The sequence below is a fragment of the Homo sapiens genome, chromosome 14 (genome assembly GCF_000001405.40).
Source record: "Homo sapiens chromosome 14, GRCh38.p14 Primary Assembly".
Classification (NCBI taxonomy): Eukaryota; Metazoa; Chordata; class Mammalia; order Primates; family Hominidae; genus Homo; species Homo sapiens.
Window position 1 is genome coordinate 36,705,109 of NC_000014.9, and position 18,382 is coordinate 36,723,490.

The following is an 18,382-nucleotide window of genomic DNA, read 5'->3' on the forward strand; positions in this document are numbered from 1 at the left end:
CTGCTCACTGCAAGCTCCGCCTCCCGGGTTCACACCATTTTCCTGCCTTAGCCTCCCAAGTAGCTGGGACTACTGGCGCCCGCCACCATGCCTGGTTAATTTTTTTTTTTGTATTTTTAGTAGAGACAGGGCTTCACTGTGTTAGTCAGGATGGTCTCAATCTCCCGACCTCGTGATCCACCCGCCTCAGCCTCCCAAAGTGCTGGGATTACAGGTGTGAGCCACTGCGTCCGGCGGCTTACTGTTTTAAGTTCCTATTTTACGTCCGCAAACATAGCCTTAGAATTAAGTAAATGTGAAAATGTAAACTAGGTGATCTATTTTATGAGGTTCTGCTACATTTTTCAGTGATTTACTTCCTATTATAAAGTTAATGCATACAAAATGTAAAAGCTCTCCACAGCTTAGAATGGTATTAATATAAAGAATAAATACTTTCCCTCCACCGCTGCTCACTTTCTCCCACTTAATCTCTCTCTGTCTCTGCCTCTGTCTCTGTCTCTCTCTCACACACACACAATTCCCCATTTCCACTCCCCAGAGAAAAACATTATGAACAGTTTCTTGTAAAACCAAGTACTTTGAAGATGAAAAACACTGTAAGACATTTATAGATTTTTTTTAAATTAAAGAAAAATCTAGAATTATCCCATGCCAGTCAGAGTGCGTGAAATCTCAGATTTCCTTGGAACAACAGAATGACCAATTGCTGGGTAAGGGAATTGAAACAATAACCCTGTAAACAAATTGTCCAAAGTGAATGGCCAGAGACAGCCTACAGCAAAGACGAAATAAGGCCTTCAAGGAACACCACCTCCTCATCAGGGTTTATAACAACTTGATGACGTTCTTCAACATGTTTTAATGATTATCATACCTTCCCCTTCACAAAGGATTGATTTATTATGTTTTAAATTTAAAGAATACTGGTTTCCCAGTTTTGAATCAGGCTTAGATTACAGAACACATAAAATCAATGACTTTGTTCTAGGCCAAGAAAAAAACAAAACAAAACACCCACCAGTGTTCATTTAAGTACACAAGGAATAGTTCGGGGGAAAAAATTCCTCCTGCAATTCTGCATACTAACGAGCTCCACTACTCCTTCCCTCATCACATCATCGGGACCATCTCACTTCACACTTTTATGCCACCTTAACATTCACAAATTACTTTGCATATTATTTGTTTTAATCTTCAAAACAATCTTATCAGATAGGAAAACATTGTTTTTCAATTTACAGATTCCAAAAACTGAAGCTCTGAGCAGTGAAGTGATGGGCTCAAGGTCATTCCACCAGTAAGGGACAAGACTTCACTTCTCATTGAGGTAGACCGATGACTTCTAAACATCTATCTCCAGCTCAGCTTTTTCCTCACAAGCCACAGGACCCACATCCAACCCACGGACTTAACGTCGGCACTTTGCAGTCCCAAATGCAGTTAGACTCAGAGTTTCCAGGCAGAGCCCGTAATATTCCTCCATAAGCCCATTCCTCTTTCAGTTGTTTTCTTTCCCAGTGAATGGTGCCACAATTGTTTCAGTTGCTCAAGCCAAAAACCTAGGCATCCTTCTGAACCCCCTACTTTTCTCAACACGCACATACGGTCCATCACCACATCCTGCAGATTCTGCCTTTGGAATACTTCTCAAATCAGCCCACTTCTCCCTGTCTCCCCCATGGACGCTATAGTCCAAGACCCCACCACTTTGTATTGCAGTCATTTCCATGCACACATTCTGCCTCTCCCTCCCATCCCCACCCCATCCAGAGTCACCACTGCAACCAGAGTCATCAGGCTGTTCCTCTGCTTAAAATCATTTGTCAGCTTCCAAATGATGAAGATAAGAATCTTAGATGAAGATAAGAATCCTTAGTGTGGCCTACAAGGGCCAGTATGATCTGATCCCCTTGTGTCTCTCTAGCAACATTCTTGCCTTCACCTTTTTGCTTCCATCACTTGGGCTGTTTTTCATTTTATCCAAGGTACCCAGCTCTCTCTCTCCTAGAGCCTTTGCGCTAGATGCTCCAGTGTCTGGAATGTTTTTGCCCATTTGCTGTCCCTTGCTAATTTCTAACTCATTCTTCAGCTCAAATGTCACTTCCTCAGGGAAGCCTTCCCTGACCATCAGGTTTATACTGGGGGAATTTCTCCTTTACGCTCCTAAATGTGAGTTTGTTTGTTTACTTGTTTTTGTCTGTTACCTCCATTGCCTTGTAAGTGCTGGGACAGCTTCTCATTATTGCATCTCCTGGTGCTTGGCACATGTTAGACACTCAATAAATATGGGTTCAATGATGACTGAAAGCCAGGAGTCATACTCAGACCTGTTGACCCCACATTTTACGCACAGCATTCCTCCCAGCCCCCAACCTAAGGAGCCCCAGTGCCTAGATCATTAAATCGGGGTCCTGATTAATAAATGAATCACTTATTTACTAGTACAATCTAGTATATATTTACTAGTATAATCTGGGCATGGGAAGTGCTATCTAATAGAGAATTCATTTGGCAAAGGAATCAGTGCTTTTAGCTTGGAGGCTAAAGCTTGGAAATGAAATTCTGAGCCACATGGCACATGTTAGCACTGTCAAAGGAAGTTTGTGATTTACAATTGTTAATAGTCAAATATATAGAAAGCAATGCATTAGCATTCTTCAGTGGTGCAACACTACTGTACAGAGAAGATTACAGTGGAATTTATTCAACTTTCACTTTTTAAAATAATGAAAGCCAGGCATGGTTGCTCATGCCCATAATCCCAGCACTTTGGAAGGCTGAGGTGGGAGGATCACTGAAGCACAGGAGTTCAAGACTAGCCTGGGCAACAAAGGGAGATCCCAATTTCTACAGAAAAATAAAAAAATTAGCTGAGTGTGGTGGCGCATGTCTGTAGTCCCAGCTACTCAGCAGTCTGAGGTGGGAGGATCATTTGAGCCCAAAAGGTGGAGGCTCCAGTGAAACACTGTTTCAAAAAAACTAACCAAATAAATGAAAATAAAATAAAATAATGACAAATCATATTTCACTAAACTCCCTACTGTAGGATACTTTGGATGGGAGTGAGGAAATGAGGTAATCTAGTCACAGGTTCTCAGCTTGGTAAAACTTATAACAACATAAAAAATTAATTATAAAACTATGATGAACAAAATGTATCTTTTATTTAAAGATTTAGAGATAGTTTTCAGAGTCCTGATTAATAAATGAATCACTTATTTACTAGTATAATCTAGATGTGGGAAGTGCTATCTAATAGATAATTTGTTTGGAAGAGTGCTGGTTGACATTTCACTGAATATCATTACAAAAAATTGGGCAGACACATGTCAACATTTTTTTTTAAAATAAGATCTTTCCCTGTCATGCAGGCTGGAGTGCAGTGCCATGGTCATGGTTCACTGCAGTCTTGCCCTTCCAGGCTCAAGCAATCTTTCCACCTCAGCCTTGCAGGCATCTGGGACCACAGGCACTCACCACAGCACCTGGCTAATTTTTAAAATTTTGTAGAGACAGGGTCTCACTAAGTTGCCCAGGCTGGTCTTGAACTCTTAGCCTCAAGCAATCCTCTTGCCTCAGCCTGCAGAGTAGTTGGGACTACAGATGTGCACAATCACACCTGGCTAACGTTAGTTTTTTTTTTTTTTTTTTTTTGTAGCGATGAGGTCTCACTATGTTCCCCAGGCCTGTCTCAACTCTTGGCCTCAAGCAATCCTCCTGACTCAGCCTCCCGAAGTGCTGGGATGACAGGCTTGAGCCACTGTGCCAGCTCAGGTTTTTTTTTTAAACAATTGAGAACATTTAATAACTTAAGTGTATTGATTAATTGTAGAATAAAGTTTGTGCTTGTGGATTTTCTTTTTTAGCATATGACCATACATATATCTGATTAATCTTTTTTTTTTTGTTTTTTTGAGATGGAGGCTCGCTCTGTTGCCCAGGCTGGAGTGCAATGGCGCCAGCTCGGCTCACTGCAGCCTCCACCTCCCAAGTTCAAGCAATTCTCCTGCCTCAGCCTCCCGAGTAGCTGGGATTACAGGCATGTGCCATGATGCCCAGCTAATTTTTGTATTTTTGTGGAGTGGTTGTCTTACAGTCTGAAAAACAGAGCTGGTTTCATGGGTGTGTGACAGTGCTGTTGTGTGGGGCCTGCATTTAGAAGAGACGAGCCCCATGATTGATTTAATGTTCTACTGTCACTGTCTTCAAATTCTTAATAATTTCTGAACAAAGGGCTCTGCATTTGCATTCTTTTCTGGGCCTTACAAATTATTTAGCAGGTTCCTCTAAAAAAAATCTCAGTGTATTGAGAGCTCCTTCGTGTCATCCAGAACCACAGTGTTTATTGCACTCATTTTCTATATCTTGACAAGAGAAGAGCTCTGAGGGTCCCTGGAGTCAGAATTGTCAGTCACTAGGGGGGTCTATATACACTGTGGCCAATCAAGGATTTCAGACCAAAAAAACATAAGCTTCTACTCAATAAATGAGATTTCCAAATACAGGGAAACCTGGTTAACAACTTTGGTTAGTGAAGTGAAGCAATGCCAACAGGTGGTTAATGTGGAACACATGGTGTAGATTCAGCTGTCATTTGAGAAAAGTCCTGGCCTTTACTAGAATATAGGGGATAGCTGGGCAAAAACAGGTACAACTAACTTTACTGAAGAGTCTGGTTAGCCATACTAGAAATAGTTTTATGACTAAAAAAAAAAGCCCTTCAATACTTTTCTACTAAGAAAAATGAAGAACTGGACCTCTAAGGGAAACTGCCTGCTCGTGAAAAATGTTACCCCAACTGGTACATCCAGGACTGCAGTTTTAACTGCAAGCAAGCAATTTGATGGTAGGGAAAAATTCTGTGATACTATGGCTTAAAAGCACATCCTGTGCTACTTTTATATTGTAGACGTTGAAAAAGGCTGCTTGCATCTGTAAGTTACCATTAAAAAACGTTATTATTATGATTATTTAGAAATAAGGTCTTACTTGGCTGGGCGTGGTGGCTCATGCCTGTAATCCTGGCACTTTGGGAGGCTGAGGCGGGTGGGTTGCCTGAGGTCAGGAGTTTGAGACCAGCCTGGTCATCATGGTGCCAAAATAAAAAAAAAATTAGCTGGGTGCGGTGGTGGGCACCTGTAATCTCAGCCACTCAGGAGGCTGGTGCAGGAGAATTGCTTGAACTCCGGAGGCGGAGGTTGCAGTGAACTGAGATTGCACCATTGTACTCCAGCCTGGGTGACAAGAGTGAAACTCTGTCTCCAAGAAAAAAAAAGAAAAGAAAAGAAAAAAAAGGAAACGGGGAAAAAAAAGAAAGAAAGAAAGAAAGAAAAAGAAAGAAACAGGGTCTTACTCTGTTGCCAGGCTGGAGTGCAGTGGCGCAATCATAGCTCACTGCAGTCTTGAACTCCTGGGCTCAAGCGCTCCTCCCACCTCAGCCTCCCGAGTAGCTTCACTATAAGTGCACACCATCATGCCTGGGTAATTTTTTAATTTTTTGTAGAGAGAGGTCCCATTGTGTTGCCCAGGCTGGTTTCAAAACTCCTGGCATCAAGCAATCCTCCTGCCTTTGCCTCTCAAAGTGCTGGGGTTACAGGCATAAGCCACTGCACCCAGCCTATAAACTATCATTTCAAAATAATAATATTGAAGATGATGATAATAATTATCATCATTGTTATTTTGCCTCAAAAGCAAATGATTCTAGAAGAATTGATTAACTACCCTAATTAACCTAGATTAAAAATTAATATCCAGGTGAAATTTAAATTTTAGGCCAACAATTTTTCCTTGTGAGTTCAAAAGTTTTTTAAAATACAAAGCTTTCAACTTTCTTGAGAAAGTTATGCTCCTGAGATAAAAATTAAGTAATAACATAGTTTCTAGAAATTCCTTTTAGTAATAAAGGGAAAGCACTCAGGTGTAAAAATAGCTTCTTCAAGAAGATAAATTTTGGTGTCAGACTTGGGTTCAGTCCTCAACTTTACTGTCTACTATGTGAGCTGGGCAATTTCCTTGATCTTTCTAAGACTCCACTTCTGGATTTGAAGCAGGGATAACAGCACTCAATGCAGATGTAAGGATCAAATTAGATAATAGATGTAGGTGTCCAGCACAGTGACCAGGACAGGATAAACATTCTACAAACGGAGCTATCATCACTGATAGGATTTTTCCTCCAGGATTTTAATTTATTAAATAGTTACCTTATTGACAGGAATCATGTTTTTGACATTGTAGTAGAAGCCAAAATAAACCATGTTGAAAACTCCATGTCGTCCCAAAGTTGCAGTTAATCCTTTGTTGAGGCCCTGGAGTCCCCAGCCTTCCTTCTTAATGATTTGTCTTGCATAACCCACAGTGGATGGTTGCTGCAGAAGAGAGAAGCAAGGCCAGAATGATCATCTTTGGGACTGTGGAATACAGTAAATTACCGTATTAACTTCCCTTCAAGCCAGAATTATTAGGGACTTTTTTCCCCCAGATATGAATAATCATGCCTAGAACTGTGTTTTTTAAAATCAGCAAACCCAAGAAGCAAACAAAATTGCATGCATAAAAACAGGCTTTATAGAAAAGATTGTTGGCAAAGAACAAACGATTTTGATAGGATTAGTGAAACTGATGTTGTATAATAACTATCATCACTTTCAACATGTAAGTAATTACATCCAATTCTGGATTATTCACACTAATGAAGGAGATTAACCATATAGATATTTGGTAATCCATAACTATACATTATCCAAAAGGAATTTATATTTGGCTCCTGAATCTAGTGTATTTACCTTTCTAATTATGTTTTTCTAAAGCTAATGTTACAGTTTTGATTCAATTGCCTCAATGGTTGAACCTGGCACTATGTTATAAATTGGCCATAAATAAATAGCTGTTGATTGTACACGTCCTCAAGCAGATATGCAATCAGTGTGCGTATCACTGCTGTGATAAATTCTACATAAATGGTGTTGGGAGTACTTGGTTACCACCTTGAAATTACTCCTTTCCAGTCCCCTGATTGATTACCCAAGGCTGAAATGTCCTGACTGCTAGAATCCAGTCTGGCTGAAGAGCTCACTGCTGTTACCCTGAGATTTACAATTCATTACAATACAATTACAATTCACATGGGTTTAAAAAAAAATGTATGAGTGGTTGTTTCTTTTTTGAAGGCACTGTACAAAAGATATCTCTCTCATATTTTCACTGAATAGTTAACAGGGGAAACTGTTCAGTGCTTTTTTTTTTTTTCCACCCATGAGGCACACACTGACATGACATTTGTTTGATATTTCACTAAAGCAGGTTGTTAGCGTGGTTGTGGCAGTCTGGCACACTTTCAGACTAAAAGTATTTTCTTATCATGTGCAATTAAGGCTACATCAGCAGAATAGAATAGAACAAATCCCATCAAGGCTTTTCTTCCCATCTGCATTTATAATAGCTATGTAATTAATGTGAAACATTTAAATGAGCTTGTTTATATAGTAAATCCTATAGTCTTTGCTGATAAATGTTTTGAAGACTCTAGCTACAATTCTACACTCAACTTCATCCATTAATTTAAGGGAACTAATTACAATCAATTACAATAAGCTTAAGAAAACCCTCCTTTGTAATATGAAAAAACCATGGTAGAATACATCTTAAAACAATAAGACATATCATACAGGAAAACCAAAAAATTTTCTGAAGGTTAAAGTTTACTTTCTGTTTGACAACATGAGATTTTTTTGTGTTTCAGCACATTGACTTTCACCCCCAAATCATTATTTTTTGGTTTTCAAAAGAGATAGGACAAGTTGAGCAGAAACTCATTTTTGTTGGAAAGACCCTGGAAGTGCTGAGTAAACTGCCCAAGTACTGCTATCTTGCTTCAAGGAAGGCAGTCTAGAGGTGGGGGAAGGAGAGGGCAGCTTTCCTGGGGGTGGGAGGAACAGGACAGAGGTGAGGCTGCCTGACTAACACAGGTTCTCCCTGCACCCAACCTAAACCTTTTCTCCATCCTCACTCCTCTGAGGTCTTGAGGGCATGAGGGCGGAGGAGCTCCGAGGCCATCTAAGTTTTAGAGCAGCAGAGAAACCAACGGCTCTAAAATAAAGTGCAAATGACAATGGCTTTCCCTAAAAACATGGGTATAAAGATGTTTCTATTGTTTAAAAATCTTAGTTTGCTAAGTCATTAGAATTAGGATGACTAAACTAAGGATTAATTTGGATAGCATCTTTCTCATCATCTTGAAAAGAGATTTCTCCTAGATCTCGGTGAGAGCTGACAAATATTCAAGTGGCATTTGCTAATTGTCTGTTTCCTGATTTTCACTGGCTTGGGTGCTGTGTGTGTATAAGCAAATGTAATGCATCATTTTAAACTCAAGTGCTTTGTTGAGTTCGGACTCTAGTTGTCAGTAATTAATTGGAGAGTAGCATAGTAATTGGAAATAGGAGCTCAGAGCTAGACAGTTCCAAGTTTGAGTCTCAGCAATACCACTTGCTACTTTGGCAAGTATTTTATCCTCTCTGATTGATTCTCACTTTATTAATTTCTAAATTTCTAAATAAGGATAATGATAGAATCTTCCGGAGGTCAGTGGCTTCTGCAGTGGCTCAAACCTGTAATCTCAGCATTTTGGGAGGCGGAGGCAGGAGGAGTGCTTGAGCCCAGGAGTTCAAGACCAGCCTGAACAACATAGTAAGACCCAGTCTCTACAAAAAATTAAAAAATTAGCCAGGTGCTGTGGCAAGCCTGTGATCCCAGTTACTCAGGAGGCTGACTAAGGAGGCTGACGCAGGAGGATCACTTGAGGCCTGGAAGGTGAGGCTGCAGTGAACTGTTATCCTGTCACTGCATAGTGACAGGCTCCAGCCTGGATGACAGAGTGAAAGCAAGACCCTATCTCAAAACAAAAAAAGAAAAAAAAATCTTCCTCACAGGATTGTTGAGATTGTTGAAAGAAGTCAATGAACTTAGTCCACTGTAAACAACTTAGTCCATTCTAAGCATTCACTATACATTTAGGTGTTAACGATAATGGCAATTATGCTGACAATCATAAAAATAGTTATAACAATAAAATGACAGGTGATTTCTTTGTTAGTTGAAGGCAGTGGCAACCAAAAGCTGGAATCTGATTTGAGGGAGAGAAAGCTTCTTTTTTTCTTCATTCCTTCTGGCTGTCCTTTCCTTTTCCCAGAGTCCCAGACCTTTGTGATAAAGTCCACCAGAAATGCATGCAGAATGCAAGATAACAGGTCTGCTTCCTCTGAGACCCAACCAAATTCAATGCTTGGGGTAGAGATCTTGTTCCAGGTACAGTGCCTCACCCAGGAGCTTTCCTCTCTGGAGCAGTAAATCCTATAAATTGGCCTCTTCCTTATCCCTCAAGGTGAGTACCCTGGCTAAGATCTCTGCATATGGCAAGTCTGTGGGCTGTAGAAGTAAGGCCATACGGGAAGAAAGGCTGGCAATGGAAAAGCACATGAATTGGGCTTCCCCCTCTATATGGCTTTCCAGCCTAGAAAACACATTTGTATACGTGATCAGGTAGCTGGAACACAGGAAGTGCTCAACACCTTTAGCCATTATCATACGTGCTCAGTACTTTTTGGTGTCATTTAATCCTCTCAGTAATTGTGTGAGATATGTCTTATCATGATCCCTATTTGGCAGATAAGGAAACTAAGAGTTAGAAGTTAAGTTACTCACCCAAGATTACAGAGTAAGTGGTAACAACAGAGTTCCAACTGAGGTTCCTTGGACTCCAAATCTGTACTTTTACACTCTTGGTGGTTCTGCCATCCTAACATATCTGATTGCTTCTCTCAGCAACCTTGTAATGTGGGCAGCTGGTATATCTCATTTTTCAGGTGAGGAAACCAAAGATTGTTAGGCAACATGCCTAAGATAAAATGCTGCTGATAAATGGCTTAAGCAGAATTCTGCATCTAATCCAATGTTGTTCTTTACACACTCATTCTTATTGTACATAGGTAATAAGAGTTTCAGAGTTTGACAATCCAACTGATATAAGTAACAGATGCATAATAGTACAAATATATTTTTCTGGCAAATGGAGGCCTTGGGATAAAGAAAACCAGAACTCAATTGCCTATAAAAATAAGAAGTAATAGTATGATAGTGTGTTTTCTTTCTTCATTCAGGGACATTGTTTCACACATATGTAAGCAAATATTTAATTAGAAAGGCAAAACATGACTTCCACTAGGATGCTTAAATAGGAAAATATAGAATAATTTTGACTAGATATCTGTAAACACATGGAATTTTACTAAACTTATTTGATTATGGGGCTTCCATTTAAAAGCAAAATGGTAACTGATTAGCATCATCAGCCAAATGATTCCAATACTATCTAATCCAGCAGGTCACCCACTAGCTCAGTTTCCTTGTATTATTTAGATTCACTCCAATTTTCATATTTAGTTACCAATTGTGGGCCAAATTGCACTCTAACTTTCCTGGTTGTACCTTCATTGACTGCACCCAATCTGAAAAGCATGGAAGAATAAGTGGATTGGGATGAGACTTAACAAATATTTTTTGCTTTAATTTTTACATGAAGGGATATGCTGATAATTTTTATATTTACCTATGAGAGTATTCTATAATGGTTATGGGAAATGGAATCAAATATCTGCTTAAAAAGTTATTAAGAGGTTTAATTAAAAAAGCAGATCCTTGGCTGGGCACAGCAGCTCATACCTGTAATTCCAGCACTTTGGGAGGCCAAGGAGTGTGGATCATGAGGTCAGGAGTGCGAGACCAGCTGGCCAATGTGGTGAAACCCTGTCTCTACTAATAATACAAAAAGTAGCTGGGCATGGTGGTGCGGGCCTGTAGTCCCAGCTACTTGGGAGGCTGAGGCAGAAGAATCCCTTGAACCCAGGAGGTGGAGGTTGCATTGAGCAGAGATCGTGCCACTGCACTCCAGCCTGGGAGACAGAGTGAGACTCTGTCTCAAAAATAATAAATAAATAAATAAATAAATAAGCAGATCCTAAGTGAAATAAGCCAAACACTGAAAGAAAAATATCATATGATCACTTATATGTAGAATCCAAAACAAAAAAGGTCAAATATACATGTAGATAGAATAAAACAGTGGTTACCAGGGGTGATGCGAGGAGTGGGGAGAGGTGGGGAGATGCAGGTGGAAGGGTGCAAAGCGTCAGCAGGATGAACAAGCCTAGAGATCTAATGTCCAACATGAGGACTAGAGTTAATAAAATTGTGTTGTACTGTTTTAGGGATTTTTGTTAAATAAGTAAATTTTAGCTGCTCTTGCCACACACAAAAATAGTCACTATGTGAGATGATACATATGTTAATCTGCTTTTCTATAGTAACCATTTTACTGTCTGTATCCTGTAACACCATGTTGTAAACCTCAAATATATCTAATAAAATATATTTTAAAATACAAAAAATGTTAAAAAGAGAGAGAGAAGATCCTTGGTGTAAATGAAGCTCCCAGGCACCACTCTGGGGCACTGAGTCCTTACTTTCTGAGAGCCCAGTACTACCAACGAATCACTGAGATGACCTGTGGCAGCCCCAACTATTTTTTCTGGAGTTCTTCCATCTGACTACTGACGATACCTGGCTCTGATTAGCTCATGAGATCACAGGCAGGATTTTAGGCAGCAGGCATTGTTCCCTGGGTAAATACCAGTCAGAGTATGGCCAGTGGGTACAGGCTTGGGTGTGTCAGTGGATTTCCTCCATCTCTAAGGCCAAAGAAGAGTTCTAGGCACAGCATGTCAAAAGAAAGCACGCTCCACATGCATTCCTATGGAAAGGTGAACGGGTTGCATTTGAAAGCCAATGGAATACGGGTGTTGTACCGGATTTCATCACATAGCTGGAAAGCAAACCGGATGAGACTACACAATGGAGTGAGTGTCCATATCTGGGCCTTCAGAAAAACACTGCTTTGTTTAAAAAGAGGGGACCCAGTTGCTCCACCAAGGTAGGAAAATATGCTTGTTCTTCAGGAAATGAAAATCATCCATACTTTTCATTACTCAAATGAGGTCTTGAAGCATTTTCATACATTTGAAAAATTTAAAAATCATAGAAAAATCTTCCTTTTATTTGAGAACAAAATGTAAGTGAAAGGAAAAGAATCAGGCTTAAAAAGTCCACATTTATAGTTCTTTTAGCTTAGATATTTCACAAATTCATCATTACAGTTTGTTTTAATAGGGCATGATTATGAACAAAAAAGATACGCAGATATAGTTAGAGTCTATCCAGAGTGTATGTTGTATGAACAGGTCTATTTGCAAACAACCGGTGAGTGGAGAAGAATTTGCTGTCAAAAACCCCTCCCAGATACCGAACCACAAAGCTATGTCAATATCAAATTGCTATTCAATAGCCAGCCCTGGAGGAGCACGGCACCCTGCAGGTGATGAGACGCTCATGCTGTGCCTTGCCCTTGCACCAATGGCAGAGCTGGGAGGAAGAAAGGTGACAGTGCTGTGGCCACATGGGTTACGACTCAGGAAAGACTGGCAACAAAGAGGAGGTGTTGCTTCTTCATGGTCTCATAAACACTTTCTTTTGCTTTTCCCTTGAGCTTCTTAATTATCTAGATTTCTTTATCCCAATGAAAACAGTGTGGTTGACTAGAAAGAGACATCTATGTTAGTGTTCAGTTTCTTAGAGCTAACTTTTTTGGGCTTTATTTTCTCTACCTTATAAAATGTGGATAAAGCCATCAACCTTATAAAGAGAGGATTTGAAATATCAACTGAGTGTGAGCGTCAGGAAAAATGGAAGGGTTCACAGTGGCGACCAGTGGGATAGGGTTAGAGGGAGATGTTGGCAAAAATCAACTAATTTTTCTTTATATAGCTCTGTCTTACTTGATTTGTTAAAAAAGTATTATGTTAATAATTTACAAAATTATATTAATATTTTTAAAAATCAAATAAAGGGAAAAACTCACATAAGGCAACTTGCAGAGTGTCTGATATATAGTAGATATTCTGTAAATGGTAGCTATTATCATTATTTCAAAGTCTTGATTCTGAAAACAAAAATCTAGGGTTCCTGGCACAGTTGAATGGAAGACAAGTCTATTTTCTGTAAATGATAATAGAGAGACAACTTGGCTGCTGCTTTAGATATTATTGAAAGATAACTATAGGAATGGATTCATATGCATAATTTTCTTTTCTGCCCACAGGAATCATAGACTGGAAAGAAATAATTTCTGTCCTGAATTGTTGCCAGACAGTGTTTTACACAGTAATGCAGGAAAAATTTGAACTTAACCCAATACATCATCATGAATGTTGACATGCCCTTGAAGCTGGCTTCTCCCACTATCTGTAAACAGAGCCACACGCTCACTCTCTGTATAACTCAACTTCTCTCTCTCTCTCAAAAGAGATGATCACAAAATACAGCCCTTCAATTTACTTTATCAACATAAAGTTGACTCTATGTAATATAAGTTTAAACATTTGTTGATCTTCTATGGAGAACATACTAAGCTTTGTGATATCATACACGATCTAATTGGTCTCTATTAGATTATTAAGTTCCCAGGATAAAGTGTGTAGAGCTATATTTATTGGTGTTATCCCAAACTAGAACCAAACCCTGAGCTAATTTTTTAAAAAATCCCTATCTTTAAAGATTTTCCCATCAGTTACACATTTGCTATCTGTTTGTTGATCCTTAAAATTATAATCAGAGCAAGATAGAACACTAATTATTTCTTTTTTGGGCTGAACATCTTTAAAGAAGAAATGGAGGTAAAACAGGCTTTTACAGTTTCCTATAGGTTTAGGTTCATATTTGGGGTGAGAATGATTATGTTCATATGTAACGTAGATAAAAAATGACAGAGTAGAAGGAAAACCTGTGCCCCAGCCACACATCAGAGGCAAATCCTATAGACCTCAAGGGAAGGAAAACATAACCCTTTAGCCAAATAATAACTTTGAAGTAGATTTCAAAGTGGAGAGGAAAACTGGGAAACAATTCATACAAGATTTTGCTTCTGGGGAGAAATTCACATTTTCCAGGCTAGCAGAGAGCATGCCAGCCAAACATCACTTGCCTTAGCACAACTGATAGGGGACTTCTAGTTCTTATAAATATACAGATAAAAACCAATGCACCCAGTTTGGGGAGGTCCTGTAAGGACAGCAAGCTACAAAGTCACATTGGCAAGACTGGGTATGCAAACCATCTCCAATAGGGAAATCCTTGGGCAAGCTTAGTCCCAAGCCAAAGAGACAACAGATCAGAACAACTCTTTGCCTGGGTTTAGTTTGAAGGATGGGGGGAAATTTGGGTCTATCCCAATTTTATCCACACATGTTTTTACACCCAGTGAACCAAACCAGAGCATGACAAAGCTATGATTACTTTGCTCCCCACAGAAGGTCAAGCATATTTAAATTACAGACTGGTTTTCTTTATTCACTGTGAAGTTTAAGACACTGGCCAAGACACTGGTATTAGAGTTGGAGGAAGGGTGGCAAGGATTATAGTCTTTGACTAATATGGTGGTAATTTAAGAAGTGTAGGCAAGACAAGCACACCTATTAAAATATTTTATACATAAGTTGGAAGTATATGAGGGCAGTATCAGGAACTAAATTCACCACATTTTAAATTCACATTTTTTAAAAACAGTTTATGGCTAAACTGGGCAGGAGGCATATTTTGTGGGTAACATACTTCTGACTGGGTACAGGATCAGAGAGGAGAGCCCGGGGCAGCTGGAGCGTGCACAGTACCTGTCGTTCTTGATGGGAACTCCACTTGCAGCTCCAGGACTCCAGTTCCTATTATTCGGCTGCCATGAACCTAACAGAAGGAACTTCAGCTCTGTGCCGTGCTGCACTTGGATCCCGGCTACAGGGGCCCTTGATCTGGACCCTGTGCTTCAGAGGGCACCATTCTGGCCCTCTGCCAGCCAGGCCCACCCCACATGGCCAAAGGGACATCCACCTACATCCCACACCTTCTTCTAGACCATGCTCTCTGCACCTGGAACTGTAGCAGTTCCTTTGTTCCATCGCTGTCTCTCCCCTTACCCAGAAGACTTTCAGTATTATATTAAGTGTCATATTGGCTACTGTTGTCCTCGACTGTCCTCTGCTGCAGTGCCCCTCTCAGCTGCAGCAACTTCTTGCTGGAAGTTGTTAGGAAATTTCATGTCTAAAAGACCCCACGGACTCACCACCTTAGGCTGAAGAAATAGGAAAACCCAAAATATGCTGTGTAGGACACCATGGTGGTTTATGTCCAAGACATTAGGGTAGACAGGTTGAACAGCAGACATGCTGCCTGAGAAATTCTCCCAACTGGCAGGACAAGAGCTACCTATCTGTAAAATAAGCATCTATGGGGTACCTGCTCTGCTTTTCTTAAAGGTGTTGTCAAGCCAGTTGGCCATTCTGCATGTAGCCCATCCATTTGGTGTTCCACCACAACTAGGAGCTGACTGAAAAGGCTGAAAATGAGCTTAGTTCATAACCTTCCATGTGAAGTGATTAAGAAGGCTTAATCGAGAATTCATGTTAACTTTATACAGCTATTCCAGAGGAAGAAATCTCTTGATTGTGGTAGAATTCTTCCCAAAGTGGCCTCAAATGTTCTGTTTCATCTCTAACTTCTGCTGCTAAGTGCTAGTTATTTACAGTAAACAGATATCCAGCTACTGCTATTTATGATAATGGGCCCTTATCTGAGTTTAAAGACCTTATCAACAGGCACTGTAAGCAGGCTGCCAGTCCGTAAGCCTTGATAAGGAATTCAGGCTGAATGGATGGCAGTGGCATCTGATAATGACCTAAGGCACACTGAGGGAGAAGACCCTTGCTCAGTGAGCTGTGCTGGTGCCCACAACTGGAGTCAGCTGTGACTGCTCAATATTAATTGGAGCAATATCTCAAAATAAATCTGTCTCTACTTAAACTTACGCATTTGTAAGATCACCTTGCATCTAGAAATAGTTATCATTGGTTGAATGCCTACCATTTGCCAGGCTCCATGTTAAGACCTTTGCATATATTAACACATTAAAATTCTCATAACAATCATGTTGTAATAATAATGACTAACATTTACTGAACCATCACTGCATGCCAGGCCATACTGACAGCTTTATATAGTCTCACTTAACCCTCATTTGACTGTTTGACATGGCTATTACTATTATTTTTTCCTAACAAATGAGGAAACTGGGCTAGGGTCAGGGTAGGAAATGTGAGGCTGTCACATAGTCAATAACTAAGATCTCCCTCCAGGTCTTGTGCTTCCAACCACTACACAGATGCCTTGCTGTAAGGAGATGGACTGATCACTACCATTTTACCAATGAGGGAACTGCAGGTACGCTATTCAAGGCCACACTGTTGGATAATGGTAAAAAGTGTAATGAGAACTTCAGTGTGTCTCTCCCCACAAGATTGTTCTTCCTGTTCTACACAGCTCTGATTGTATATGCTCTTCAGTAATTGGCAAACAAAGTTTAAACTCTGTTAGAAATTACAGAGTAGGAAAAAATATGGGTTCTGCTCCTATAAATGAAATCATGGCACCTGAATTATGCAAGGTTGAGCTCCAAGATGGGCCAGCAAGTCATTCCCACCTGATCAGTTGAGAAGGTCTTCCCTGAAGGCAGGGCTTGATCTTGGCAGAGCCATTAGAAGCATTTCCTTTGGATAACATACTTTTCTTTAAACTGTTCTATATTTTCTAAATTTTCTACGATGAGCATACATTACTTTTGAAAGTAAATGTTCACAGACAAAACATGAATGCATTCTCATGTTAAAACATTCAACATCACAAAGCCCTTCTCTTAAACTCTCACCTTCTCCTCCTCTATTCCAGTCTCCTCTCCAGAGGTATGAATTTCAGTATGAATTCCTATAGACCTGAACTACCCTATATGAAAGTTACTACCCACATGTTGGAAGTTACTACCCACGTGGCCATTGAGCACCTGAAATGTCCTAGTTGAGATGTGCTGTTAACACAAAATATACACCAGATTTTTAAATTTAGTATAAAAGAAGAATGCAAATATCTCATATAATTTTTATATCAATTACACACTGAAATGAGAAATTATAGAGACAGTAAAAAGATCAGTGGTTGCCAGGGATTAAGTGGGGAGGGGAGGGATGAATCGGCAGAACACAGAGGATTTTCAGGGCAGTGAAATTACTCTGTATGATACTATAATGGTGAATATATGTCATTATACATTTGTTCAAACTCATAGAAGGTACAGCACCAAGAGTGAGCCCTAATGTAAACTATGGACTTGGGTGATAATGACATGTTAATGTAGGTTCATCAGTTAAAACAAATGGACTGCTCTGATGGGGGATGTTGATCATGGGGAAGATGATGCATGTGTCGGGGCATGGGGTTCATAGGAAGTCTCTACCTCTTGCTCAGTTTTGCTGTGCACCTAAAATTGCTCTAAAAATAGTCAAGAAAAATGAATATACTGGGTTAAATAAAATATATTATTAAATTAATTTCACCTGTTTCTTTTTATTTTTTAAATGTAGCTACTAAAAATGTGGCTCACATATTTCTATTAGATAGCACTGCTCTAGAGTCTAGATCATTTTTAGTGCACTTATACACACATATTTAAGAAATACATATATATTTTGGTGCTTTATAACATAAATATGCATTACTTTTATGCTTGGATTAATTTTTTTAAGTCAAATCTTTAAAGGCAGTGGACATTAAATTAATTCTTTTCTTCTTCCACTTCTCTTCCTCCTCTTCTTCCTCTTCCTCTACATCTCCCTTTTATACTTAACAACCCACAAAGCCTTAGAGTGAAGAAAGCAAGAAGTATTCCTGGCCATACACATGCCGAGGTGAGCATACCTAATATTTGAGTTAAATCAACACAGGCACAGGTTAACTAAAGGTTATCTATCCCCTTGTTGGATAAAAGAAGGAGCTAGTCAATGAAGAAGGCTTCGGCATTATTGAGTCCTAGATAAAAGACCTATAAGATACTAGCAAAAATGACCAGCAATATCCGAATGTTCTATTCTTATCACGTCATCTCTTTTTCTCAGACATTTTCTACAATAGTCACAATCCCATTACTGTCTGTTGAGTAAAAGCACCTATGGCTTCAATTTGATGAACATTGCCCATAATGTGCCACATCAAAACACCACCTCATTTCAGCTACTGAATTCTGCTAGTTGCTGTAAATAAATGCTGATGCATGTTACCTATGTAATCACTACTTTGCTAAATTCTAAATAAAGTCACTTTTAAAATATTTTATAATGCATCTAATTGATTTTATTCTAAGTAAATACCTGATAATGTCCAGTTCAGTGGA

The 18,382-nt window shown here is 39.5% G+C and overlaps 1 protein-coding gene across 5 annotated transcripts in view; it reads right to left on the reverse strand.

Annotated features, from left to right (window-relative positions):
- The window catches only part of SLC25A21 (solute carrier family 25 member 21), a 494,686-nt gene that overhangs the window by 27,188 nt on the left and 449,116 nt on the right, over positions 1 to 18,382 (reverse strand). For all 5 annotated transcript variants that reach the window (XM_047431871.1, NM_001171170.2, NM_030631.4 and 2 more), the window contains one exon: positions 6,210 to 6,374. In XM_047431871.1, coding sequence (XP_047287827.1) covers positions 6,210 to 6,374 — 165 coding nt within the window. The remainder of the gene's footprint in view (positions 1 to 6,209; positions 6,375 to 18,382) is intronic.